At 43.2% G+C, this 25,462-nt stretch overlaps 2 protein-coding genes across 5 annotated transcripts in view, besides 6 other annotated features; one reads left to right on the top strand and one right to left on the bottom strand.

The window, feature by feature from the left end:
* Positions 3,546 to 4,104: an enhancer, noted in NCBI's record as "NANOG-H3K27ac-H3K4me1 hESC enhancer chr2:74425404-74425962 (GRCh37/hg19 assembly coordinates)". NCBI's record gives its function as "activates a minimal SCP1, AML or CMV promoter by ChIP-STARR-seq in primed H9 embryonic stem cells {active_cell/tissue: H9 hESC(primed)}" and the evidence as "EXISTENCE:reporter gene assay evidence [ECO:0000049][PMID:30033119]".
* Positions 3,813 to 3,952: a silencer, noted in NCBI's record as "silent region_11654". NCBI's record gives its function as "represses an Ori minimal core promoter by ATAC-STARR-seq in GM12878 lymphoblastoid cells {active_cell/tissue: GM12878}" and the evidence as "EXISTENCE:reporter gene assay evidence [ECO:0000049][PMID:35858748]".
* Positions 3,884 to 22,834, top strand: MTHFD2 (methylenetetrahydrofolate dehydrogenase (NADP+ dependent) 2, methenyltetrahydrofolate cyclohydrolase). 3 transcript variants are annotated; one of them, NM_001410192.1, is made up of 9 exons: positions 3,884 to 4,011; positions 6,651 to 6,748; positions 10,974 to 11,158; positions 12,973 to 13,095; positions 13,838 to 13,990; positions 15,211 to 15,318; positions 16,468 to 16,560; positions 17,010 to 17,135; positions 19,348 to 22,834. In NM_001410192.1, the coding sequence occupies exons 4-9, from the start codon at positions 12,993 to 12,995 to the stop codon at positions 19,509 to 19,511; spliced, it is 747 nt and encodes a 248-aa protein (NP_001397121.1). In that variant the 5' UTR covers positions 3,884 to 4,011; positions 6,651 to 6,748; positions 10,974 to 11,158; positions 12,973 to 12,992; the 3' UTR covers positions 19,512 to 22,834. The 3 variants fall into 3 exon arrangements, with proteins under 3 accessions (NP_001397121.1, NP_006627.2, XP_006711987.1); NM_006636.4 differs by lacking the exon at positions 6,651 to 6,748; XM_006711924.3 differs by lacking the exons at positions 6,651 to 6,748; positions 10,974 to 11,158.
* Positions 4,143 to 4,422: a silencer, noted in NCBI's record as "silent region_11655". NCBI's record gives its function as "represses an Ori minimal core promoter by ATAC-STARR-seq in GM12878 lymphoblastoid cells {active_cell/tissue: GM12878}" and the evidence as "EXISTENCE:reporter gene assay evidence [ECO:0000049][PMID:35858748]".
* Positions 4,553 to 4,642: a silencer, noted in NCBI's record as "silent region_11656". NCBI's record gives its function as "represses an Ori minimal core promoter by ATAC-STARR-seq in GM12878 lymphoblastoid cells {active_cell/tissue: GM12878}" and the evidence as "EXISTENCE:reporter gene assay evidence [ECO:0000049][PMID:35858748]".
* Positions 11,527 to 12,106: an enhancer, noted in NCBI's record as "H3K27ac-H3K4me1 hESC enhancer chr2:74433385-74433964 (GRCh37/hg19 assembly coordinates)". NCBI's record gives its function as "activates a minimal SCP1, AML or CMV promoter by ChIP-STARR-seq in primed H9 embryonic stem cells {active_cell/tissue: H9 hESC(primed)}" and the evidence as "EXISTENCE:reporter gene assay evidence [ECO:0000049][PMID:30033119]".
* Positions 11,637 to 11,736: an enhancer, noted in NCBI's record as "active region_16048". NCBI's record gives its function as "activates an Ori minimal core promoter by ATAC-STARR-seq in GM12878 lymphoblastoid cells {active_cell/tissue: GM12878}" and the evidence as "EXISTENCE:reporter gene assay evidence [ECO:0000049][PMID:35858748]".
* SLC4A5 (solute carrier family 4 member 5) overlaps positions 21,511 to 25,462 on the bottom strand; it is a 127,175-nt gene continuing 123,223 nt past the window's right edge. For both annotated transcript variants that reach the window (NM_133478.3, NM_001386136.1), the window contains one exon: positions 21,511 to 24,061. The gene's annotated coding sequence lies outside the window, so the exon portion shown is untranslated. The remainder of the gene's footprint in view (positions 24,062 to 25,462) is intronic.

A 25,462-nucleotide genomic window follows, 5' to 3' on the forward strand; every position in this document is an offset into this window, starting at 1 on the left:
AAGTGGTCTAACTAAATGTTAGATCGCTGTTAACAATGTTTGCAAAGGCGGTTTCAATTCATTCCTGAAAGTTCACATTTTGGGAAAAGAAAATTTCCCAAATTTTGCAGAGGGATGGAGGGTTAGTTTCCTTAAAAGATGGGAAATGTGTATTTCCTTTCCCTCTTCAATCACTGTTGCTAGGTTCAAGTAACTCTAAGGTGCCTCCTCCCCACAGCGTACTGGGGACAGGATCTGCAAATTATCACACCCAGTCTTATCACCAGTTATATAACCTGTAGGCCATTCTCTGACCTCTAAACCTTCCATATCCATTGTTTTGTGGGCTCTCAGCATCACATTCTTTTTCTTAGTCTCTTATTCATTGTATGCCTGCCTCACTCCATGCCCCATAAGGGCATAAATATTACTGATCTTTTTAGCCTGGCCAACATGGGGAAACCCCATCTTTACTAAAAATACAAAAATTAGCCAGGCATAGTGGCACATGCCTGTAATCCCAGCTACTTGGTAGGCTGAGGCACGAGAATCACTTGAACCCAGGATGCGGAGGTTGCAGTGAGCCAAGATCATGCCATTGCATTCCAGCCTGGGTGACACAGTGAGACTCTATCTCAAAAAAAAAAAAAAAAAGAAAAAGAAAAGAAGAGAAAAAAAAATTACTGGTCTTTTAAAAAATTTTTGACATTATTTCAGACATACAGAAAGGTTACAGGAAAAGTTCAAAGAATACTTGTATACTCTTCCCCACTTGTTAATATTTTACATTTGCCACTTGTTTTATGGGTTTTTTTTTTATGTATATACATTGTTATGGACTGAATTGTATCCTCTCCAAAATTCAGTGTTGACACTCTGACCTTGGAATGTGACTCTATTTGGAAATAAGGCCTTTAAAACAATGATTAAAATGGTTAAAATGGGGCTGTTAGGGTAGGCTCTAAATTAATCTGATTGGTTTCTTTATAAGAGGAGATTAAGACATTCGGAGAGGCCGGGCATGGTGGCTCATGCTTATAATCCCAGCACTTTGGGAGGCCAAGACAGGTGAATTCCTTGAGCCCAAGAGTTCAAGGCTTACTTGGGCAACATGGCGAAGCCCGGTCTGTACTAAAAATACAAAAAATTAGGCTGATGTGGTGGCGCATGACTACAGTACCAGCTGCTGGGGAGGCTGAGGTGGAAGGATCACCTGAATCCAGGAGGTTGAGGCTGTAGTGAGCTGAAGGCGCACCATTGCACTCCAGCCTGGGCGACGAGAGTGAGACCATGTCTCAAAACAACAACAAAAAAAGTAAAATAATAAAAGATATTCAGAGAGAGACGTCAGGGTTGCATGTGCACACACAGAAAAGGCCATAACACAGCAGGCATGCAGCCCTCTGTAAGCCAAGGACTGCAAGCCTCAGGAGAAACCAATCCTGCCAACACCTTGACCTTCGCTTCTAGCCCCCAGAACTGTTAGAAAATACATTTCTTTCTTTTTTTTTTTTTTTTAGATCGAGTCTCACTGTTGCCCAGGCTAAAGTGCAGTGGTGCGATCTCGGCTCACTGCAACGTCGGCCTCCTGGATTCTAGCAATTCTCCTGCCTCAGTCTCTCAAGTAGCTGGGATTACAGGCATGTGAAACCATGCCTGGCTAATTTTTATATTTTTAGTAGAGACAGGGTTTCACCATGTTGGCCAGGGTGGTCTCAAAATCCTGATCTGAGGTGATCCGCCTGCCTCAGCCTCCCAAAGTGCTGGGATTACAGGCGTGAGCCACTGCACTCAGCCCATTTCTGTTGTTTAAATGACTCAGTCTGTGTTATTTTGTTATGGCAGCCCTAGCCAACTTATACATACAAAGCATTATTTTTTTCTGAACTATTCAAAAGTAAGTTACAGACATGGTCCTTTAGTACTAGAAGCAAGTGCAATATATTCTCTTACATTACTGCATGCGATTAGCTAACACTGATAAAATGCTATTAGCTAGTTGCAGACTTTATTCATATTTTGCCAATTGTCCTATAATGTCATCTATAGCAAAAGAGAGAAAAAAAGAAGCAAGAAAGAGAAAAAAAGAAAGACAAAAAGTTTTGGGTCCAGAATCCAATCCAGAATCAAACAGCATTTAGCTGTCATGCCTAGGCTCCTTTAATGGAGAACAGTTTCTCATTCTTTGTCTTTCATGGCCTTGGAGCTGTCAAGAGTACAAGCAATTTATCTTGTAGAATATCTCTCACTTTGGGCTTGTCTGATATTTCCTTGTGAATAGATTAAGATCTACTAGTGTGTTCCAAAGCTTTACAACTGTTTTTTTTCCTGGACAGTTTTAACATTCTAGGTCTGTGATCTTTCTTCTCAATGTGAAATGAGGAATCTGTAACCGTTTTTAGGAGACTCATTGGTTTAGGAAAATCACCTTATTAAATTTACAGACTTGTTAAGAGCTACGAAGTGATGTGTCTCCTCAATGGATCCTATCAGAAGGCATATATGTGTGTTCCCTTACTGGGTGGTGCTAACTTTGATCACGTGGTTGAAGCAGTAACTGTCATGTTTCTTCACTGTAAATTTACCATTTTCCTTTCCTTCCTGGAGGCTAGAAGTAAAGGTCAAGGTGTTGACAGGATTGGTTTCCCCTGTTCTTTGTTTGTTTGTTTTGTTTTTTGAGACAGAGTCTTTTTGTTGCCCAGGCTGAAGTGCAGTGGCACAGTCTCGGCTCCCTGCAACCTCTGCCTCCCAGATTCAAGCGATTCTCATGCCTCAGTCTCCCCAGTAGCTGGGATTACAGCGTCCGCCACGATGCTCAGATAATTTTTTGTGTTTTTAGTAGAGACGGGGGTTTCAACACATTGGCCAGGCTGGTCTCGAACTCCTGGCCTCAGGTGATCCGTCCGCCTTGGCCTCCCAAAGAGCTGGGGATTACAGAAGTGAGCCACCGCGCCCTGCCCTCCTTAAGTTTCCTTGCGGGAGAGATACTTTGAGACTATGCAAAAAGTTTGCGGGAAAAAATACAGGAAGCCCAGTTGAATCTGAATTCCAGATAAGCCATAAATAAAGTATAAATATGACCTCCCAAAGTGTTTATCTAAAATTCTGATTTGATTGGGCATCTTGTGTTTTTATTTGCTAGATCTGGCAACCCTATATGTAAATATCTTGCTCCTCATCCAACTTTCACCCAGTTGTTTTGACATCTATTGCTGCTTCTGAATCAGGGTTGCACATGCAACCCTGACGTCTGTCTCTGAATATCTTTTATGATTTTACTTTTTTTGTTGTTGTTTTGAGATATGGTCTCACTCTCGTCGCCCAGGCTGGAGTGCAGTGGCGCGCCTTCAGCTCACTGCAGCCTCAACCTCCTGAACTCAGGTGATCCTTCCACCTCAGCCTCCCCAGTAGCTGGTACTGTAGTCACGCGCCACCATGTACTGATTTTGGAAAATGGTGATTTTCTAACTCCATCATTCCTTTTACTTCTGTTCGTTGGCATTCTATCAGCTTGTCTTTTCATCCACCCTTTACAGTGCTTGGCACACAGTAGGCGCTCATATAATTGTTCAACGAATGAATGAATGAACTTTTCTCTTGTGTTGTCCGGCCTTCGGTGACACTAGCGGCGTCAGGCAGGAGTTTGACTTCCTCAGCCTATCATGGCACGTTGCCGAGGCTTCAGCGCCTTACAGGACCTCGCTCCAGGCTCTTCTGGCTCCAATCAAAAGCAGGGCTCTTTCGGACTTCGCTTACGTTTAATAAAGAAAACCGGTTGGCCCCTTCGGCTCCACCTGGCTCAACAGACAGCCAGTGGCATGCGGCAGGGACCAATGGGTGGCGGAGGGAGGCGGGGCCTGCCACGAGGCCGCAGTATAACCGCGTGGCCCGCGCGCGCGCTTCCCTCCCGGCGCAGTCACCGGCGCGGTCTATGGCTGCGACTTCTCTAATGTCTGCTTTGGCTGCCCGGCTGCTGCAGCCCGCGCACAGCTGCTCCCTTCGCCTTCGCCCTTTCCACCTCGCGGCAGTTCGGTAAGAGGGTCACAGAGCTCGGTCAGCGCGGAAAGCTGAGGGGAACGGAGGGCGAGGGGCACGCCGGGCCCCCGAGGGACACCGAGGGAAGTCCTTCCCGAACATCTCCGCCCCGGCGGTGGTGGCCGCTGAGGGGTGTGGCGGGGCGACGTGGCACCGAGCGCCGCCGCAGCTCTCGACTGGGGCGCTTCCTCGGCGCGGAGGGCTGGTACCCGAAGCCCGCCTTTCGGAGGGAGCCGCTCTCCTGCGACTCGGGGCGTCGCCGGGGCCCGTGGCCAGTCGGCGGGCGGGACGGGGGTGGCGTGCGGAACGCGAAGGCATCAGTTTACGCGGAGCCTTCCGACAGCGCCGGCCGCCTCTGGCTGGGATGCTGAGAGTCGTCTGGGGGAGAACAGGCGAGGGTTCCAAAAGAGCAGCCCTCGGCGAGTTGTCCTTGCGGGGACCCTAGCGGCGGAGGGCGCTGCTGCAGCTGATGAAATCGCGGAGCCGACTTGCTCGGGGTCCCCGCGCCGCCCTCCTCCCTCCGCCGGTGGGAGTGGCCCGCGCTGCCTCCGCTCTGCCAGGAACATGAACGGACTCTGGGCACCCTAGCTTTGGCTGCAGCCCACCAGAGCCTGTCAGTGCCGGGCTGCGTACATAGAGGTGGCAAACATCCGGGAGGCTCCCAGGGCCTTAGGGAAAGGGGGAATGGAGAGTGACAAGTACCCATATTTCAGCGGTACTTGCAGAATTTCAGTTTTACAAGATGAAGAGTTCTGAAGATGGATGGTGGTGATGGTTGCACAACATATGAACGTATTTAATACCACTGAACTGCACTTAAAAATGGTTAAGATGGGCCGGGCGTGGTGACACGCGCCGAGGCTGAGGCACGAGAATCGCTTGAGCCCAGGAGTTCGAGGCTGCAGTGAGCCGTGATTGCACCACTGCCCTCCAGTCTGGGCGACAGAGCGAGACCCTGTCTCAAAAAAAAAAAAAAAAAAAAAAGTTGATAAGGTTTATGTTATGTGAATTTTACCACAATAACAAAATTGGGAAAAATATACAGGGGAGGAGGAAAGGAAAAGCTCTGTTTGCATTTTTGGGTTTCCTTGGGAAGGTGATTTGGTCGGTCATTAGAGCGCTGGCATTGTTGGCATTGTTAGAGCCCTGCACCTTACAACATCAGCCCCTTCTTTTTTTCATCTAACGTTCACTGTGTACCAGACACTATGCCAAGCTGTGCGAATTCAAAGATGAGAAAAACTGTTCTTAATGGAGCTCATGTTCCTGACAAGGGGCAGAACACGCGTGTAATTTCCAGTCAGTGCGGAAATGCTGTTAGAAATATTTCAAAGGCGCTGCTTGTTGGAGCAATGAGTTCTTGAAGGAAAACGTGGGAGGGGACTTTCAGGGTTTTCCCTGGTCTGACTCTTGACCTCCCCCATGTTTCGTTACTGTGTGTTTTCTCCCCTTCTCCCTCTTCCTGAGTGCTGGCCTCATGTGACTGTGGACCAGACCTTTCCTAGGCTTCCATGGTCCAAAAGAGATTTATAAAGATGCTCTCATTCATTACCTAAAGAACTGGGCCAGTTTGTCTACACTCTCCAATAACAAATGCTCTTTTCACTACCTTTCTGAAAGAACAAGTAAGCTTCATCCACATCTCTGAAAGCAATCCATATTATCTGTACTGCACATTTGCTATTTACAATTCCCACATATTGCTTTCTTACTGCTGCTTATTTTTTAAAATACTGTTTATTTTTAAATACTGCTTATTTTTAAAAAGTTGTATCCTTTTAAAAATATGAGTCTGCATTCTTTTTTTTTTTTTCTTTGTTGGATGGTATGAGAGTTTCAGGAACATAAACCTATGGTTGGAGAAATAGTAGCCTAGGAGACAGTGGGATTAGGAAGTCAATGGACTTTAGAGGCAGAAGTTTGCCTTTGAATCTTGTTTCTACTATCCTCAGTTTCATCTTCTGTATTACAGTGTTATTATAATAGTCCCAAGGTAACAGAGTAATATATGTTAAAGTGTAAGCAAAACACCTAGTGTTTAATAGATGTTTGTTCCTTTCTCCATTATGTCTTCCTTCACTCATTATTTTTCCCATTAATAATTGATAACAACTCTTCCCTAAATCACTTGATTATGAATTGTAAAATGTCCTGATACTAATTTCTCATGGAAAATTACAGTACTGTAAGCTATTGAATTAAAAGGAAAGTGAAGATGCTACTCACTTGGATTTTAGTTTTGAATTTTATTTTATTTTTTGAGACGGAGTCTTACTTTGTTGCCCAGGCTGGAGTGCAATGGTGCAATCTTGGCTCACTGCAACCTCTGCCTCCTGGGTTCAAGCTGTTCTCCTACCTCAGCCTCCCAAACAGCTGGGACTATAGGCGCACACCACCATGCCCTGCTAATTTTTGTATTTTTAGTAGAGACAGGGTTTCACCATGTTGGCCAGGCTGGTCTCGACCTCCTGACCTCAAATGATCCACCCACCTTGACCTCCCAAAATGCAGGGATTACAGGCATGAGCCACAGTTTTGGATTTTATTTGAACAGTCCTCTTGACTTCTTCCTATTCTGTTGATTACCTATCTTAATGGGATTTTTTTCTTTCCTTTTTTTTTTTCTTTTTTGGCAGGGGAATCTCTCCCTAGGTCAGGTTGGAGTGCAGTGCTGCAATCACGGCTTACTGCAGCCTTGACCTCCTGGGCTCAAGTGATCCTCCCACCTCAGCTTGTGAGTAACTGGGACCACAGGAGCATACCACCATGCCTGGCTAATTTTTTTTTTTTTTAACTTTTAGTAGAGATGGGGTCTCACCATGTTGCCCACGCTAGTCTTGAACTTGGCCTCCCAAAATGCTGGGATTACAAGGCCTGTGCCACCATGCCCAGCCCTGGGAATTTTTTCTAAACACATCTGTGAATGCATTTAATTCTGGGATAAATGTTAGCTAATATAGTTACAATTTTGGATTCCCCGTGGGACTTAGCTGACTCTCCATTTCCCTGTTTATTTTGGGGTAGCAGTTAATCTGCCCCTTGGCAAAAGAGATGATGCTAAATTAGTTAATGACTCACTCCCAAGGCTGTATTTCACATTTTGCAGAGTTGTGGGAAGCAGAGGAGGGCTGACAGTTATACTATGAAAGATATTCATTGCATGTGACTTTGTTTTTGGTTCTTGTTACTCTTTGACTGTTTTTCTTTCTTTTCTTTTTTTTTTTTTAAGCAAATTGGCATAACATCCAGAACCTGCTTTTGGAAGCAAAGTTTGGGACTTGGAACACTGGCTTTTCCCAGAACCCTGTGTCCTTAACTTCAGTATATGATTTTATCTGAATGTGCTAATACCATTTTCTCTAAGTTTACTGCTTTCAAAAGAAACTTTTTATGAGGTGCAAGCTAAGTCATTCTCACTGACTAGATATACATATAGTGTATATACTTATATATATCTCCTTATGTGTAAGTGTATCTATTTTAAGGATACATGTGTATGTGTGTGTATATATACATATATATATAAAACCAAGAGAAAAGAGTAAGAAATTAGTTTTATTGAACATATATGCCTGGCACATTATATATGTTTGTTATTTCATTCAACATAAATGACTGTTCTAAGCCGTTTTAAAGTAGTCTTTCACTCTGTAGTGTTCCAGGATTAGGAATGTATTTTTGGCCTGCGGTGGGCATTCCAGGTACTAATACAAATCAGGAATGAGGAATGTTGCCAGGTGTATTTGTATCAGCAAAACCCCCCTATTTTAATTTTTTTTTTTTGAGATGGAGTCTGACTCTGTTGCCCAGGCTGGAGTGCAGTGGCACGATCTCCGCTCACGGCAGTCTCTGCTCACTGCAACCTCTGCCTCCCGGGTTCAATCGATTCTCCTGCCTCAGCCTCCCAAGTAGCTGGGTCTACAGGTGCGTGCCACCATGCCCGGCTAATTTTTTGTATTTTTAGTAGAGACGGGGTTTCACCATATGAGCCAGGATGGTCTCAATCTCCTGACCTCATGATCTGCCTACCTTGGCTTCCCGAAGTGTTGGGATTACAGATGTGAGCCACCATGCCCGGCCTGCAAAACCCTTTTAATGAAGTCCTCTTCGACTCTAATTCTGAAATGGAATTGTGAATATTAATATGTTTTCAATTTCTTCATATACCATGGGTATAATTAAATGCTATTATATGTTGTGCCATGCTAGTATTATATAAAATCAGGGTAAAAGTATTTGATTTGCTGTAAGATTGTAACTTTTTTCTTTTTTTGAGATGGAGTCTTGCCCTGTTACACAGTCTGGAGTGCAGTGGCGTGATCTTGGCTCACTGCAACCTATGCCTCCTGGGTTCGAGATATTCTCCTACCTCAGCTCCCGAGTAGCTGAGATTACAATTACAGGGTCCTGCCACCATGCCTGGCAAATTTTTGTATTTTTAGTAGAGGCGGGGTTTTGCCATGTTGGCCAGGCTGGTCTCAAACCCCTGACCTCAAGTGATCTGCCCACCTTGGCCTCCCAAAATGCTAGGATTACAGGCATGAGCCACCGTGCCTGGCCAGATTATAATAATTTAATACTTCACAAGATGCAATACAGATTAAGATAAAGTTTATATATAAGATTATTGCATTATATCTAAGATGTTGAGATTTGGTTTAAAGTTGGTATTTAATCATAATGCAATAAAAAACACTTATTGAAGGCCTAAAGATTGTGAAAGCTTTAAAATCCCATTTAAATTAGCAGTTACTGGCCGGGTGCAGTGGTGGGTGCCTGTATTCTCAGCTATGGAGGCAAAAGCTGGAGAATTGCATGAACTTGGGAGGCTGCAGTGAGCTGAGATTGCTCCAGCCTGGGCAACAGAGCAAGACTCTGTCTCAAAAAAAATAAATAAATAAATTAGCAGTTATCTTGAGAATTAATTTTATCTGACCCTACAGGATATTCAGTACCTTGATGTTAGGTTTTAGAATATAAGAGGAGATTACTTCATTGGTCTTGAGGTTAGAGCAGTCTTCATGACACCAAGGACAGAGATCTAAAGGGAAAGGCTTTTTTTAATGGGATCATTTTACTTAAGGAAGAGATGCTCATCTAGTTTAGTTTAGTTTAGTTTAGTTTAGTTTAGTTTAGTTTAGTTTAGTTTAGTTTAGTTTAGTTAGTTTAGTTTAGTTTAGTTTTTTGAGATGCAGTCTTTCTCTGTCGCCCAGGCTAGAGTGCAGTGGGGTGATATCAGCTCACTGTAACCTCTGCCTCCTGGGTTCAAGCAATTCTCCTGCCTCAGCCTCCTGAGTAGCTGGGATTATAGGCGCGCACCACCATGCCTGGCTAATTTTTGTATTTTTAGCAGAGACGGGGTTTTGCCATGTTGACCAGGCTGGTCTGGAACTCCTGACCTCAAGCAATCCACCCTCCTCGGCCTCCTAAAGTGCTGGGATTACAGGCTTGAGCTACCACGCTGGGCCAGATGCTCATCTTTAAGTAATGGGCACTTTACTGTAAGGACATGTGTGAAAATAGGAAAACTGGGACTCTTCCACATTTGGGTTTCATGGAACCCAGGAAGAGTTGCATAAGCAGTTCTCTTTGGGAAGAGACAGCCTTTCGGGCAGCTGAACATGGTTTTGGGAACTGGAGGTTCTTCTAGATCCTGATTTTTCTTCTTGCTCCCCACCTCAGCAACAGTTTTCTGATTTCTTGCCCTGTTGTCTCCCATTGGTGTGACTATTATTCTGCCTATTCTTTCTGTCTTTGTTCTGTGGTTCTAGTTTGAACTGCCTCAGGGACGAGCTCTTACTGGTTCAACTAACTCTCACTGCTCTGTTGAGCTAAGCTTTTGCGCCAACTGGACCACTGGCCAGCCTAGAGATTGTTGCCCTTGGCGTCACATACTCACTCCTGGTCTGTCAGCTTTGGATGATATGGTGGGGTCCCTGGGAAGAGCACATTGCCAACTGTGAGAAGGAGCTTCCTCCAGTCCCCTGCCCTGCCCCTATTCTTACCAGGAAAGTCTTCCCCAGAAGGGACTGTGGGGAGTGGTGGTCATTTTGATGTTTGACCTGTCCAGTATGTTGTTTGTTTGTTTGTTTATTTTTGAGACGGAGTCTAGCTCTGTCACCGAGGCTGGAGTGCAGTGGCACAATCTCAGCTCACCGCAACCTCTGCCTCCTGGTTTCAAGTGATTCTCCTGCCTCAGCCACCTGAGTAGCTGGGATTACAGGAGCCCACCACTACGCCCAGCTAATTTTTGTATTTTTAGTAGAGACAGGGTTTCATGTGTTGGCCAGGCTGGTCTCGAACTCCTTACCTTGTGATCTGCCCTCCTCGGCCTCCCAAAGTGCTGGGATTACAAACGTGAGCCATCGTGCCCGGCCTATATTGTTTGTTTATTCAACTACAGAATATAATTTATCGATTTAAACCACCATAAAAATGAAGTCAGTTGACTGGGAAATGATTTGAAATACATGCCTGGCTGCTAACAACAGGGACAAAACACGAACTACAAATGGCATATAAGCAGATAAGAAAAACTATTTAACCTCATGGTGAGGGGTCAAACAATTGCAAATTAAAACTGTAAAACACTTAGTAATGATCAGGGCGCAGGGTGGTGTAGCAGTTAAGAGCCCAGACTGATGTGAGACTCAGCTTGACCAAGCGCTGTCAGTCACTTAAACTCCCTGAGCTTCAAATTAATGATAATAATGATTTCTATCAACTTTATCCCCCTCCATATGTAGCTGGATATATTCATTCATTTATTTATTTATTTAGCAGAGACAGGGTTTTGCCATGTTGCCCAGGCCAGTCTCAAACTCCTGGGCTCAAGCCATCCTCCTGCCCCGGCCTCCCGAAGTGCTGGGATTACAGGCATAAGCCACTACACCTGGCAGAGTTTTAGTTTTTATAAAAATTCAAGTTATTTGGTTTTGTGACTCTGTTGCCTTCTGCAGAAATGAAGCTGTTGTCATTTCTGGAAGGAAACTGGCCCAGCAGATCAAGCAGGAAGTGCGGCAGGAGGTAGAAGAGTGGGTGGCCTCAGGCAACAAACGGCCACACCTGAGTGTGATCCTGGTTGGCGAGAATCCTGCAAGTCACTCCTATGTCCTCAACAAAACCAGGGCAGCTGCAGTTGTGGGTATGTGTCCTTCTGAGACCTCGACTGCGGTTCAGTTGAGGTTTATATGAGGCAAAGTCCATTCTAATTTATGATTTCTTTTTTCTGATTAGGAAACCCAAGCAGAGGAGGCTAATGTGATTGAACTGTATCCCAAAACTTTGTCATAGGAAATCAGACTATATCTTTCGGGGTTTATACAGTAGGACAGGAGATACTGGTTGGTATTCTCTGTGGCTTCTGGAAAGAATATAAGCTACATTCTGTTCTTAGTCTTTATATTTGATAGGTGACCCTGAATGCATTTTACATTTGCTTTCCTTGAGCAATAATGGGTCTCCAGTGGAGGTGTTTGAGTGTTTGCAGCTTAAAGCCTTAGAGGCTTAGGGGGCATGATTGAGCAATACAGTATTAGGTGACCTCAGTGATGAGGTCAGGAACACAGTCGTAGATTTGAAGGAAATGACTCTGACTTCTGGGAAATAGCTTTCAAGTTCTTCACCGATTGGTTCTAAAGCCAAACATGCAGTTTAGAAGCAGTTCAGGTCTGGATGATGGGGTTTGTGTTCTAGGTCTCACGGTACCACAGATTACTGTGTCTCTGTGGACAAGAGGTGGGTGGGCAGGCTCAGATATGCCTCTGCCTGCCCATCTGTGGGCCTGTGGTCTGAGCAGCAGGTGGCCTTTCCTTCGAAGGGCTGTGAAACCACTCGCGTGGCTGGGTGGGGTTACTGGCCTGTAAGCCTGTGGTTTTCTCTGTTCTTTATTATTGAGGAGTGAGGCCTCCTGCTCTTTTAATTGAAAGCCTTTAGAAACCTCTAGATAATGGCAAGCCATGGCATTTTGTTTTGTTTTTTGAGACGGCATTTCGCTCTTGTTGCCCAGGCTGGAGTGCAACGGCGTGATCTCGGCTCTCCGCAACCTCCGCCTCCCGGGTTCAAGTAATTCTCCTGCCTCAGCCTACCGAGTAGCTGGGATTATAGGCATGGGCCACCATGCCTGGCGAATTTTGTATTTTTAGTAGAGATGGGGTTTCTCCATGTTGGTCAGGCTGGTGTCGAACTCCCGACCTTAGGTGATCCACCTGCCTCAGGTGATCTGCGCCTGCCTCAGCCTCCCAAAGTGCTGGGATTACAGGCGTGAGCCACTGTGCCTGGCCAAGCCATGGCATTTTAAGACATTGGGAGGTAGTGTGGTGCAGAAAAAAAGAACATGGATTTTGGAACCAGAAAGACTGGCTGTATTATTAGCTCGCTTATTTATTTATTTATTTATTTAGAGACGGAGTCTCGCTCTGTTGCGCAGGCTGGAATGCAGTGGTGCGATCTCAGCTCACTGCAACCCCCGCCTCCCAGGTTCAAGCGATTCTCCTGCCTCAGCCTCCCAAGTAGCTGGGACTACAGGCGCGTTCCACCAAGCCTGGCTAATTTTTTGTATTTTTAGTAGAGACGGGTTTTCACCGTGTTAGCCAGGATGGTCTCCATCTCCTGACCTCGTGATCCGCTGGCCTTGGCCTCCCAAAGTGCTGGGATTACAGGCGTGAGCTACTGTGCCTGGCCTAGCTCGCTTATTTTTAAACCTCTCTGAGCCTCAGTCTGTCTGTAAAATAAGGTTAATGAAGATTGCATAGAATGAGGTATACAGGATGTGTTAAGCTAGTATTCTCTGGTGTATATATTTGTGAAGTTACTTTTTTAGGTTCCTTGAGCTACTTCAGCTTTTAGGGATGAGTGTGATGATACAAAACCCGTATGGTAGCCAAGTATGGTAGGCAACATAGCAGTGCTCATTAAATGCCTCAAAAATTTTTTTAACCTCAAAATTTCTTATAATAGGAATCAACAGTGAGACAATTATGAAACCAGCTTCAATTTCAGAGGAAGAATTGTTGAATTTAATCAATAAACTGAATAATGATGATAATGTAGATGGCCTCCTTGTTCAGTTGCCTCTTCCAGGTGAGTTTTGGACTCCATTTAACATGATTGCTGCTGCTTCTGCTCCTTTCCCTCTCCCTCCCTCTCTCTCTCCCTCCCCATCCCCCTCCTCCTCCCTCTCCTTTCCTTGTCTCACTCTGTCACCCAGGCTAGAGTGCAATGGTACAATCATAGCTCATTGCATGCTCAAGCTCCTGGGTTCAAGGGATCCTCCTGCCTTAGCCTCCCAAATAGCTAGGACTATAGGCATGTCCACCATGCCCAGCTAATTTTTACATTTTTCCTAGAAATGAAAGTCTGTCTGTGTTGCCTGGGCTGGTCTTGGACTCTGTGCTTCCCAAAGTGCTGGGATTACAGGCATGAACTACCATGCCCTACCTAAAATGGTTTCTGAGGGGTAAAAAGGCCTTGTTACTTTATACACCTGGTTCTTCATGTGGATTTGGCTTAAAGGCAAAATAAACTCAAAAGAGTGAATATTTTATTAGAAATGGGACAGACCAACTCAGAATACCAATTACGCCTTGATTTAGTATTGTGGTCTTGATACAAAGGACAGTGGAGGGAAGCAGCTGTGATAGACGATATTGGCTTTGCTATTGGTGTTTGGCTTTGCTTATGCGAGTTCCTTCCATGCAGATGAAGTACATCTCAGAGGCAAGCTGTAGAAGAATAGATTTCCTTGCGAAGCAGATAAGCTGGAGTCAGGCAGTGCTGACTATGCGGTGGTGATTTAAGGCAACTGTGCCAATTTCTTTTTCAGAGCATATTGATGAGAGAAGGATCTGCAATGCTGTTTCTCCAGACAAGGATGTTGATGGCTTTCATGTAATTAATGTAGGACGAATGTGTTTGGATCAGTATTCCATGTTACCGGCTACTCCATGGGGTGTGTGGGAAATAATCAAGCGAACTGGTAGGTATATCCCAGAATTGCATGTCTGTGTTAATATTATAAAAGTAGTACTGGCAAATGGTAAAAACTCATACAGTCCCAAAGAGTGGAAACCCTACTGCATATCCTCTAGTCTTACTCCCCAAAGTTTACCTCTCTTAACAGTTTTTTTTTTGTTTTTTGTTTTTTTTGAGACAGGGTCTTGCTCTGTCACCCAGGCTGGAGTGCAGTGGCGCGATCTTGGCTCACTGCAGCCTCTGCCTCCTGAGTTCAAGCGATTCTCATGCCTCAGCCTCCTGAGTAGCTGGGATTACAGGCACGTGCCACCATGCCCAGCTAATTTTTTTATTTCTAGTAGAGACAGGTTTCACCATATTGACCAAGCTGGTCTCGAACTAGGCCTCAGGTGATCCGCCCCCTCAGCCTCCCAGAGTGCTGGGATTATAGGCATGAGCCATCGTGCCTGCCCTTAACAGTTGCCTATGACAGTTTTTGCTTTTTAATCCAGAAGTCTCAGTGAAGGAAATTTTCTATTTTTCTTTTTCTTTTTTTTTGTTTTTGAGACGGAGTCTTGCTCTGTTGCCCAGGCTGGAGTGCAGTGGCGTGATCTCGACTCACTGCAAGCTCCACCTCCTGAGTTCATGCCATTCTCCTGCCTCAGCCTCCTGAGTAGCTGGGACTACAGGTGCCCACCACCATGCCTGGCTAACTTTTTTTTTTTCTCGTATTTTTAGTACAGACGGGGTTTCACCGTGTTAGCCAGGATGGTCTTGATCTCCTGACCTTGTGATCCACCTGCCTTGGCCTCCCAAAGTGCTGGGATTACAGGTGTGAGCCATCGCGCGTGGCCTCTATTTTTCTTTTTAATTTTTTCTTTAAGAGTCAGAGGTTTCATCATGCTGCCCAGGCTGGTCTCAAACTCCTGGCCTCAAGCAATTCTCCTACCTTAGCCTCCCTGGCCTCAAGCAATCCTCCCTCCTGCTGGGATTACAGGTGTGAGCCACCGCCCCAGCCCTCAGTGAAGGAAATTTAAGATTTGATAGTGGTGACAGTGCACATTCCTGTAACATTTTGTAGCCTGTAGTATGCTTTCTCCTGTTTTCTTTTAGCCCTTATTATGTGTAGCAAGTTACAGCTCCAGTTGACTGATGAGGCAAAATTGGGTTCATGTTCTAGGCCATCTGACTTTGTTTTCCTTTGGACTGGCACTACTTTTAATGTCAATACATATATTTTTATAGGCATTCCAACCCTAGGGAAGAATGTGGTTGTGGCTGGAAGGTCAAAAAACGTTGGAATGCCCATTGCAATGTTACTGCACACAGATGGGGCGCATGAACGTCCCGGAGGTAAGGAAATTGCTTTCAGGGAACACTGTCCTTTTTTCCCCATGTAAGAACTTTCAGAAGCCATCCTGTGCATGTTTGGAAGTATTAACTCTGTTATACTTTGTATTTGTTGAAATTTTGTTAACAGACAATTCAGGGAGTAACCTTTGTAGAGAAGCTGCACCCAGTGTCACCTGAGTTTCTTTATTATTCATTTATCATGTAACTAGCTTCAGAAATAAATTTAAGTTTTGAGTATAAGCATGGTTGTAGGCAATTAGAAAATTTCAGCTATAGCTTTGATAGCTGGAGCTAAGGAGCAATTCTTATTCAAAGATACTGTGTCATTTAGTGGAAAAAAATCTTTAGCCGTTGCAAAGGATTGGATTGGTATGACTGTAATGTGTCCTGTCAGGTTCTGTTAATTGGTTCTAAGGTAAAGCCTCGTCAATCAGTTATCACATAATTATTGTAATAATGACCTTACATGATTATATCAGAAATAAAGGCAAAACTATATACTTTCAACTATCTTTCAACATACTTAAAACAACCTTGAGTAATTTTAGTGATATTTTGCTTAGAAAAGGTAAAATTCTTGAAAGGCTTTAAAAATAGGATGAATAAATTTAATTATATGACTCAAAACAGTCGAGCTGGGACCAATGGGTTAAAGCTATATGATATTAGGTATTAATTTTAAAAAAGTAAATGACAATTAGCTGTTCAGAAAACATGGCACAAGCCATTAAGTCAGTTTTTTTTTTTTTTTTTCCTGGAGATGGAGTCTTGCCCTGTTGCCCAGGCTAGTGCAGTGGCACAATCTTGGCTCACTGCAACCTCCACCTTCCAGGTTCAAGTGATTCTCATGCCTCAGCCTCCCAAGTAGCTGGGATTACAGGCATGCGCCACCACGCCCAGCTAATTTTTGTATTTTTAGTAGAGACGGGGTTTCACCATGTTGGCCAGGTTGGCCTCGAACTCCTGACCTGGTGATCTGCCCACCTCGGCCTCCCAAAGTGCTGGGATTACAGGCGTGAGCCACTGCACCTGGCCGTAAGTCAATTATTTTTCAGAGATGTTGAGTTTCTACAATGACTTGACTAGTTGAGACCTAATCCAATCCCAGCTTTGTGTCAGAAATCAAGACATCTATTTTTTTCTTTCTAGGTGATGCCACTGTTACAATATCTCATCGATATACTCCCAAAGAGCAGTTGAAGAAACATACAATTCTTGCAGATATTGTAATATCTGCTGCAGGTAAGAACACAAGGGGGATGGAGGGAAGGACTTCACCTCAGAAGAGGAGGTTGTACCCCTCATCTTAGAATTCGCCTGCCTAGCTGCTATTCATCATTCCCCTTGTAATGATTCTTTGAGCTGCCTACAAAGATGAGGATAGAGTTGTGATTGGAATACCGGTTTCTGGCAGTCCATTATAGTCTAGATGGGTGAATGTTATTCCTAAAGCTTCAAAATATTTATATTAATATTTACTGTATAAAGTTTAAATGGTTCCTTTTGTTTCCTGTCAGGAGCCAAAATAAAAAAATAATAAAAGTAAATAGTTCCTTAGTTAATATTTTTAACAGGTTTTAATAAAACATGTTGATTAGTTCTTCAGGGTCTCTTGAAATTGAAGTTAGACAAGAATCTGACAGGTAGACTGTTTTCAGTACTAAGTTGATCTTTCCTTTCTCCATTTCCAGGTATTCCAAATCTGATCACAGCAGATATGATCAAGGAAGGAGCAGCAGTCATTGATGTGGGAATAAATAGAGTTCACGATCCTGTAACTGCCAAACCCAAGTTGGTTGGAGATGTGGATTTTGAAGGTAAATGGTGAAATTTTATTTTTAAAAATGAAATCAATAAATACTACCTTTCATGGACATTTAGGATAGATTATTTACTTTTTTTTTTTTTTTTTTTTTTGAGATGGGAGTCTCACTCTGTTGCCCAGGCTGGAGTGCAGTGGCGCGATCTCGGCTCACTGCAACCTCTGCCTCCTGGGTTCAAGCTATTCTTCTGCCTCAGCCTCCCGAGTAGCTGGGACTCCCAAAGTGTTGGGATTATAGGTGTGAGCCACTGCGCCCAGTCAGTATGCTTTTCCCTCCCTCTCTCCTTCCCTTCCTTCTTTCTTTCCTTCCTTCCCTCCATCTCTCTCCCTTCCTTCCTTCCCCTCCCCTCCCCTCCTCTCCCCCCACCCCTTTCTTCCTTCGTTTCTTTCTCTTTTTTTTTTTTTTTTTTTTTTGAGACAGTCTCACTCTGTCACCCAGGCTGGAGTGCAGTGGCACCATCTCGGCTCACTGCAGCCTCCACCTCACAGCTTCAAGCGATTCTTGTGCTTCAAGCCTCCCCAGTAGCCAGGACTACAGGCATGGGCCACCACGCCCAACTAATTTTGTGTATTTTTAGTAGAGACGGGGTTTCACCATGTTGGCCAGGCTGGTCTGGAACTCCTGGCCTCAAGTGATCCACCCGTCTTGGCCTCCCAAAGTGCCGGGATTACAGGTATGAGCCACTGCACCTGGCCTTAGTAGGCTTTTCATAAGAATTAGAGAAACCTTTTTAAAATTATGGCTTTTCTAGAATTATTTTAGGTGTTTTATCATAGTGATGGAGAGCAGTTATAAACTTTTCAGGGAATTGTTTTTTTCCTTAGACTTATTTCATAATTCAAGCAATTTCTTGACTTTTAACAAGTTTGAAAATTTGATGAAGTGATTTTTCTAAACCATGGAGTTTCCCAAAAAGTGTTAGAGATTTCTCATTTTCACACTGAGAGATCACAGGCCTAGAAAGTTAAAATGGTCCAGGAAAAAACCATACCCCTGAAATACTAGAATATACTAGTAGATTTCTTCTTTCAGTTCTGTTTTTTTTTTTAAGAGGCAGAGTCTCACTCTGTTGCCCAGGCTGTAGTGCAGTGGTGTGATCTCTGCTCACTGCAACCTCCACCTCCCAGGTTCAAGTGATTCTTCTGCCTTAGCCACCCAAGTAGCTGGGATTACAGACATGAGCCACCATGCCGGCTAATTTTTTGTATTTTCAGTAGAGATGAATTTGGCTGTGTTGGCCAGGTTGGTCTTGAACTCCTGGCCTCAAGTGATCCGCCTGCCTCAGCCTTTAACAGTGCTAGGATTACAGGTGTGAGCCACTGCACCTGGCCTCTCCTTTCAGTTCTTAAGATAGAATGTTTATCCGAGTTTTATGCTGATAATCCTTTTTTTCTTTCCTTTTTTTTTTTTTTTTTTTTTTTTGAGACAGGATCCCTCTCTGTTGCCCAGGCTGGAGTACAGTGGCAGGATCTCAGCTTACTGCAACCTCTGCCTCCTGGGCTTGAGCAATTCTCCTGCCTCAGCTTCCTGAGTAGCTGGGACTATAGGCACATGTCACCTCACTTGGCTAATTTTTGTATTTTTTGTAGAGATGGGGTTTCACCATGTTGCCCAGGCTGGTTTCAAACTCCTGGCCTCAAACAATCTCCCCCACCTCACACCCTGCCTCAGCCCCCCAGAGTGCTGGGATTACTGGCATGAACCACTGTACCCGGCCTATGCTGATAATCCTATTCCTAGCTTTCTGTTTTTATTAAAGCAGTCAAACCCATGCCTAGGTATGTAAGGATTTTCACTTTAACATTAGGTTAATTTTTTTTTTAACTTCTCACTTTTAAAAAATTACTGTGCTTTCTGCTTTGGACAAATTATACTTAAAATTAAATTAAGAAAATGCTATAGGCAGGTATTGAGGTAATGCTTATTATTGTTATACTTACAACTCCCACACAGTTAACCTACTAGATATTTCTTTAATAGATTTCTTTATAGGTTACTTAGATGTATAAATATTCCTTGAACAACTCTGTATGTGCATGTTATTTTACTAGTGTGTTCACAAAACCTTGAATGATGTAGATGTGATTTTTGAGTTTTATGCTTATGTATGTTACTTTTTCCTTGCATGCTTGTTTAATAATATATTAAAGTACACACATGTCCTTTGCCATAACTAAAGCAGCCTGCCTGTCTTGTTTCTATGTAGGAGTCAGACAAAAAGCTGGGTATATCACTCCAGTTCCTGGAGGTGTTGGCCCCATGACAGTGGCAATGCTAATGAAGAATACCATTATTGCTGCAAAAAAGGTGCTGAGGCTTGAAGAGCGAGAAGTGCTGAAGTCTAAAGAGCTTGGGGTAGCCACTAATTAACTACTGTGTCTTCTGTGTCACAAACAGCACTCCAGGCCAGCTCAAGAAGCAAAGCAGGCCAATAGAAATGCAATATTTTTAATTTATTCTACTGAAATGGTTTAAAATGATGCCTTGTATTTATTGAAAGCTTAAATGGGTGGGTGTTTCTGCACATACCTCTGCAGTACCTCACCAGGGAGCATTCCAGTATCATGCAGGGTCCTGTGATCTAGCCAGGAGCAGCCATTAACCTAGTGATTAATATGGGAGACATTACCATATGGAGGATGGATGCTTCACTTTGTCAAGCACCTCAGTTACACATTCGCCTTTTCTAGGATTGCATTTCCCAAGTGCTATTGCAATAACAGTTGATACTCATTTTAGGTACCAAACCTTTTGAGTTCAACTGATCAAACCAAAGGAAAAGTGTTGCTAGAGAAAATTAGGGAAAAGGTGAAAAAGAAAAAATGGTAGTAATTGAGCAGAAAAAAATTAATTTATATATGTATTGATTGGCAACCAGATTTATCTAAGTAGAACTGAATTGGCTAGGAAAAAAGAAAAACTGCATGTTAATCATTTTCCTAAGCTGTCCTTTTGAGGCTTAGTCAGTTTATTGGGAAAATGTTTAGGATTATTCCTTGCTATTAGTACTCATTTTATGTATGTTACCCTTCAGTAAGTTCTCCCCATTTTAGTTTTCTAGGACTGAAAGGATTCTTTTCTACATTATACATGTGTGTTGTCATATTTGGCTTTTGCTATATACTTTAACTTCATTGTTAAATTTTTGTATTGTATAGTTTCTTTGGTGTATCTTAAAACCTATTTTTGAAAAACAAACTTGGCTTGATAATCATTTGGGCAGCTTGGGTAAGTACGCAACTTACTTTTCCACCAAAGAACTGTCAGCAGCTGCCTGCTTTTCTGTGATGTATGTATCCTGTTGACTTTTCCAGAAATTTTTTAAGAGTTTGAGTTACTATTGAATTTAATCAGACTTTCTGATTAAAGGGTTTTCTTTCTTTTTTAATAAAACACATCTGTCTGGTATGGTATGAATTTCTGAAATTCTGTCTTCCTATGACTCCTAGTTGTGACCTAACCAGTTTTTTTCTCATTTAATCAATGTAGCTATTCCTATATTCAGTAACACTTACTTCTATAGCCTTAAATAGATAATTTTTTTTCTTCTATTTTTTTTTTTTTTTTTGTAGAGATGGGGTCTTGCTATGTTGCCTGGGCTGGTATTGAACTCCTGGCCTCAAGCAATCAATCCTCTTGCCTCAGCTTCCCAGAGGGCTGGGATTACAGGCCTGGGCCACCCACACCCAAACAGAGGTTTAAAGAGCTTTGGAGAAACCAGCCTCGTCCTCCAGTCTCTTTGTTTGTTTGTTTTGAGACTGAGTCTTGCTCTGTTGCCCAGGCTGGAGTGCAGTGGCATGATCTCGGGTCACTGCAACCTCTGCCTCTCGGGTTCAAACAATTCTTGTGCCTCAGCCTCCTGAGTAGCTGGGATTACAGGTGCATGCCACCATGCCTGGCTAATTTTTGTGTTTTTAGTAGAGATGGGGTTTCATCACATTGGCCAGGCTGGTCTCAAACTCCTGACCTCAAGTGATCCACCTGCCTCGGCCTCCCAAAATGCTAGGATTACAGGCGTGAGCCACTGCACCTGGCCTGTCCTACAGTCTTATATCACAACAGGTTGTGCCAAGCTAGGAGCTTAATCTGTAAAATACTTGAGGCAGGGATAGGTTTGTCTGTTTTGGCTTTTGGCTTTCATGCGAGCAGAAGTAGCTCCTGCTCTAGGCAGCTTGAGGCAGAAAGAGAAGAAACAATTGAGTTGACCTACCTCCGTCCTCGTTCTTCTGCCAGCTGGCGTTATTCTTTTGATAGTTCTCTGGAGTTTAAAGAAGTTTAGATAGTTTGCTGGAGATGTTTTTGTAAGTGACGTATAGCTTATGTCTCTAATCCATGCCTGCTTACCTAGATTATTAAATGTGGAGCAAGATGACCAGACAGGATTAAATTTTATTGAATTACAGTTACAAGTGGAAAAAATGACTGACTTACTGCATGGAGAAGTATTATGTCAACCTGTTAAAAGCTATGGAAATTAAAATGTTCATGTATATACAAAATATAAATGACATGTAAGGTAAAATTACAGTGATCAATTTACAACAAAGAAATTAACAGTAGTTTTCCAGCTTGTTTGATTAATCAAGCAGGTTTACTCTTGAATCCATAGCATTTCTACAATTTAATTTGGACAAAGTTCTATTCCAGATCAGCCAGGTTTTAAAACTGAAATGTGTTAAGGGTGGATTGTTAGCTTCCCCAGGATTGGTGTGGATGATAAATACTTTTTTTAAAAATTAATTATTATTGTTTATAAGACATGGATTCCAGCTGTCTCCCTGGCTGGAGTGCAGTGGCATGATTATAGCTCACTGCAGCCTTGAACTCCTGGACTTAAACGATCCTCCTGCATCAGCCTCTGAAATGGCTGGGACTACAGGTGTGTGCCAGCATGCCTAGCTAATTTTTAAACATTTGTTTAGAGATGGGTCTCACTATGTTGCCCAGGCTGGTCTTGACCTCCTGACCTCTGCTGATTCCCCCCACCTCTGCCTCCCAAGTAGCGGGATTACAGGTGTGAGCCACTGTGTCTGACAAGAATTTATACTTAAGCATAGGAGATGGTTCTGGAAATTCTAAGAAATTCTGCTCTCAGTAAGAGTAGAGGTTTGGAGCTTTACCTCTTGGCAGTATCCCTTGGAAGGGAGCTCTGAGATTAAATGTAATCAAACACTTATTGAGAGCTTTCTATGGACCAGGCACTACACTAGACGCTGGGAATTACAGAGGCAATTACCTGTCCTATACTCAAGGTGTTAATGATCTAGTGTCATTTTTCTTTAAAAAAGAAAGCACCTGCATTTGTCATCTTGAGCAAATATAGTAACTCTAACCTCAAGGTTCAAGTGATTTACTCAAGGTTTAAATCATAGTTGTTTTGGAGAAAGTAAGTGTCAGATGCACTGTGGCTGTCAGGGTCATAGTAGGCATTAAATCAACATGGTTGGTGTTCATTAAATGTGGATTGAAGATAAAATGACTGATCTTAAGTTTCATGAGGAATAGGTTTGCTTCATTGAAACTGGTTTTTATCTTCCCAAATAGTTTTCAATCATTCCTTTAAAGTACTAGGTTGATTAATATTGCAAAGTTGTAATGTAAAATGTGACCTTACCTCTGTCTAACCTGTATTGTTCACATGAATGGGAGTTTGACTTTGGGAATAAACATTGAAAATTTGCAGGGAGGACCCACCCAAATGTATCATGAAATGTGATTCCAGGTATGAAAAACCAGTGATACTAATTTAAAGGATCATTTTGATTTAACATGTGGTTTCAAATTTCACTTTAACAAGAACTATTTTATTTTAGAAACATTTATCCACTCAGATGCATTGGTTCTTTCATTAACAGAGTTTTGGAACTGGCTTTTCAATCTGGGAAAGCCCCAGTCACACTTCTGGAGCAAGGCCCATAATGCAGATGGTTCAAACTTTTTTTTTGTTTGGATACGGAGTCTCACTCTGTTGCCTAGGCTGGAGTGCAGTGGTGCCATCTCAGCTCACTGCAACTTCTGCCTCCTGGGTTCAAGCGATTCTCCTGCCTCAGCCTCCCGAATAGCTGGGACTACAGGTGCATGCCACCACACCCGGCTAATTTTTTGTAGTTTAGTAGAGACGGGGTTTCACCGTGTTGCCTAGGCTGGTCTCGAACTCCTGAGCTCAGGCAATTCACCTGCCTCGGCCTCCCAAAGTGCTAGGATTACAGGCGTGTGCCACTGTGCCCGGCTGGTTCAAACTTTTCATATAACCCTTAGGAAATTGGATGTGACAGGGAGAAAAGATAGGACCTTTTCAGCATTTCTTAATATGCAGAATTGCCAAATATTCCAAAGATGGTCTAGTGACATAAAAGTATATTACAAGTTTGTTTGAGAACATCTATATTTAAATCTAACCTTTAAACAATTTTAAATTGATATTTGTTTTAAATATGAATTGACTATTGCCCCTTTATCTTAGCTATGGTTTGGGGAAACAAGCATTTTTTTATTTCCAAAGAAATGTTAGAATTTCTATGCTGAACTGCATTTTAAAATAAAATATAATATTTAGCTTTAGGTATTTTAATTACTACAAAGGGGAGAGCTTTGCATCTAAGCAATACTTTTCATCAATAGATCTCCAGTTTTCTATAGGCAGACGGACTCCCTCTGTTTGATAAAGAAGGAAACAGGCACAGAGAAGTTAAGACCCTCCCAGTGAAGACTAAGCCAGGCTCTCCATCTCCCATCTGGGAGAAGCTGCTTCATCCTAGAGGGTGGTCTCACTGTCAGTTTCTCTTCGGTATTTATCCATGTCTGTGAAGTCATAGTCTGACTCCATCTCTATCTTCACCTGTGGCACCATGAACACTGGGTTCCGTGAGTAGCTGAAAGCAGGTGAAGCTGGACAGGATATTTTGAAGTGCAAGGTGATGCTGAACGAGAAGTAGGAAAGAAGGATTACGTAGTTCTTGGTGTTTTGAACCCATCCCCTAGAGCAGGGCTCTAATGCAAATACTTCCATCTTTGCTTCTGAACTCTCAGCACATGCCAGAATGAGCAGTTTCCTATTGGCTTGGCCTTCAGCCATAGTCACGCATCTGGTCTCACCCTGTAAACCTATCTTCACATTGCTGCCAAGGTGAACTTTTGAAATCACAAATTTGGTGATTCCTCATTGGGTTCAAAGAATCTAAGCTCCTTAGTGTGAGAAGACAGGAGTGTCTTGTCTTCTCACAAACACAAACACAGTCTTCTGTGTTTGTAGTCCTGCCTGCTTAGTTTGCCCCATCCATTGCAGTGTTCTTTGCTCTTTGGAGGTGTGTGTGTGTGTGTGTGTGTGTGTGTGTGTGTGTGTGTGTGTTTGTGTGTGTTTTCAAATGGTACTTCGGGCCTGTGTCCACTGCCTGAAATGCCTTTTCTTTTCTCTGCCCCGCTCTATGTCTGGCAGATTCCAGTTTCCCTTTCTTAGATTCTCAAAACGAGGCTACTCCCTCCCTGTGTACTCCGATATTCTTGCACAGGGTGCTCTGTCTTTGTTTGCATGCCTTTCTTTCCACATCCTCAGGGATTAAGCATCGCACCTGGTAGATCATTGATGCTTAGTCTTTGTTAAACCAGATCATGTTGCAGAGCCTTTCACTGAAACAGAATCTTGCTATTTAGTGATCTTTGCCTCCATCTGTTTTCATAAATTCAGTAAAACACCAATGAGGTTGGGAGATACCATCTCCAGTTACCAAAGTTTCTTCATTTCTGACCCTGTCTTAGGGCCTTGTGTAATTTAACAGGGTTTTGGAAACCCCTAACCTGGTCCAAATTTTCTCTCTACTGCCTGAAATTGGGAGTAGTCAGTCAATTTCATGTAGATTATTTTATAAATGAAAATAAGATAGACTGCTTTTCTCATAATACCGGTGTATACTAATGTATAAAGATCAATGGCATCACATATATAGGAGCCTGACTGGGGAAGTGGGATGAGAAGGAAGGTGGAGATTAACTGGGACAGGTGACACTTTGGGCTAGAGCATCTTTGGGACTGCTGCTTAGGGAGGGTTGAACTGGGGAAAAGTGTGTCGTTTCACCCTGGCATTGGGATAGCAGCTTTGCCTTATAATTCAGAAGATCCCCTGCCCCGTTTCCCCAAAAATCTCTTGGATGAGTGCCCTCTGTGCCTGGAGATTGATCTTCTAGACTTGGGATAGCCTGTGCTGTAATTACTGTTTGATCCCTGTCCATTCTAGGGCACAAGGTAGGAGTGGGACTGCCCCTGGCATCTTCCCAAGTAACAATGAAGTAAAGCCTTTCTTGCCTCTAAATTCATCTTTTCTGTG

The sequence above is a fragment of the Homo sapiens genome, chromosome 2 (assembly GCF_000001405.40).
Source record: "Homo sapiens chromosome 2, GRCh38.p14 Primary Assembly".
In the NCBI taxonomy this organism is placed as follows: Eukaryota; Metazoa; Chordata; class Mammalia; order Primates; family Hominidae; genus Homo; species Homo sapiens.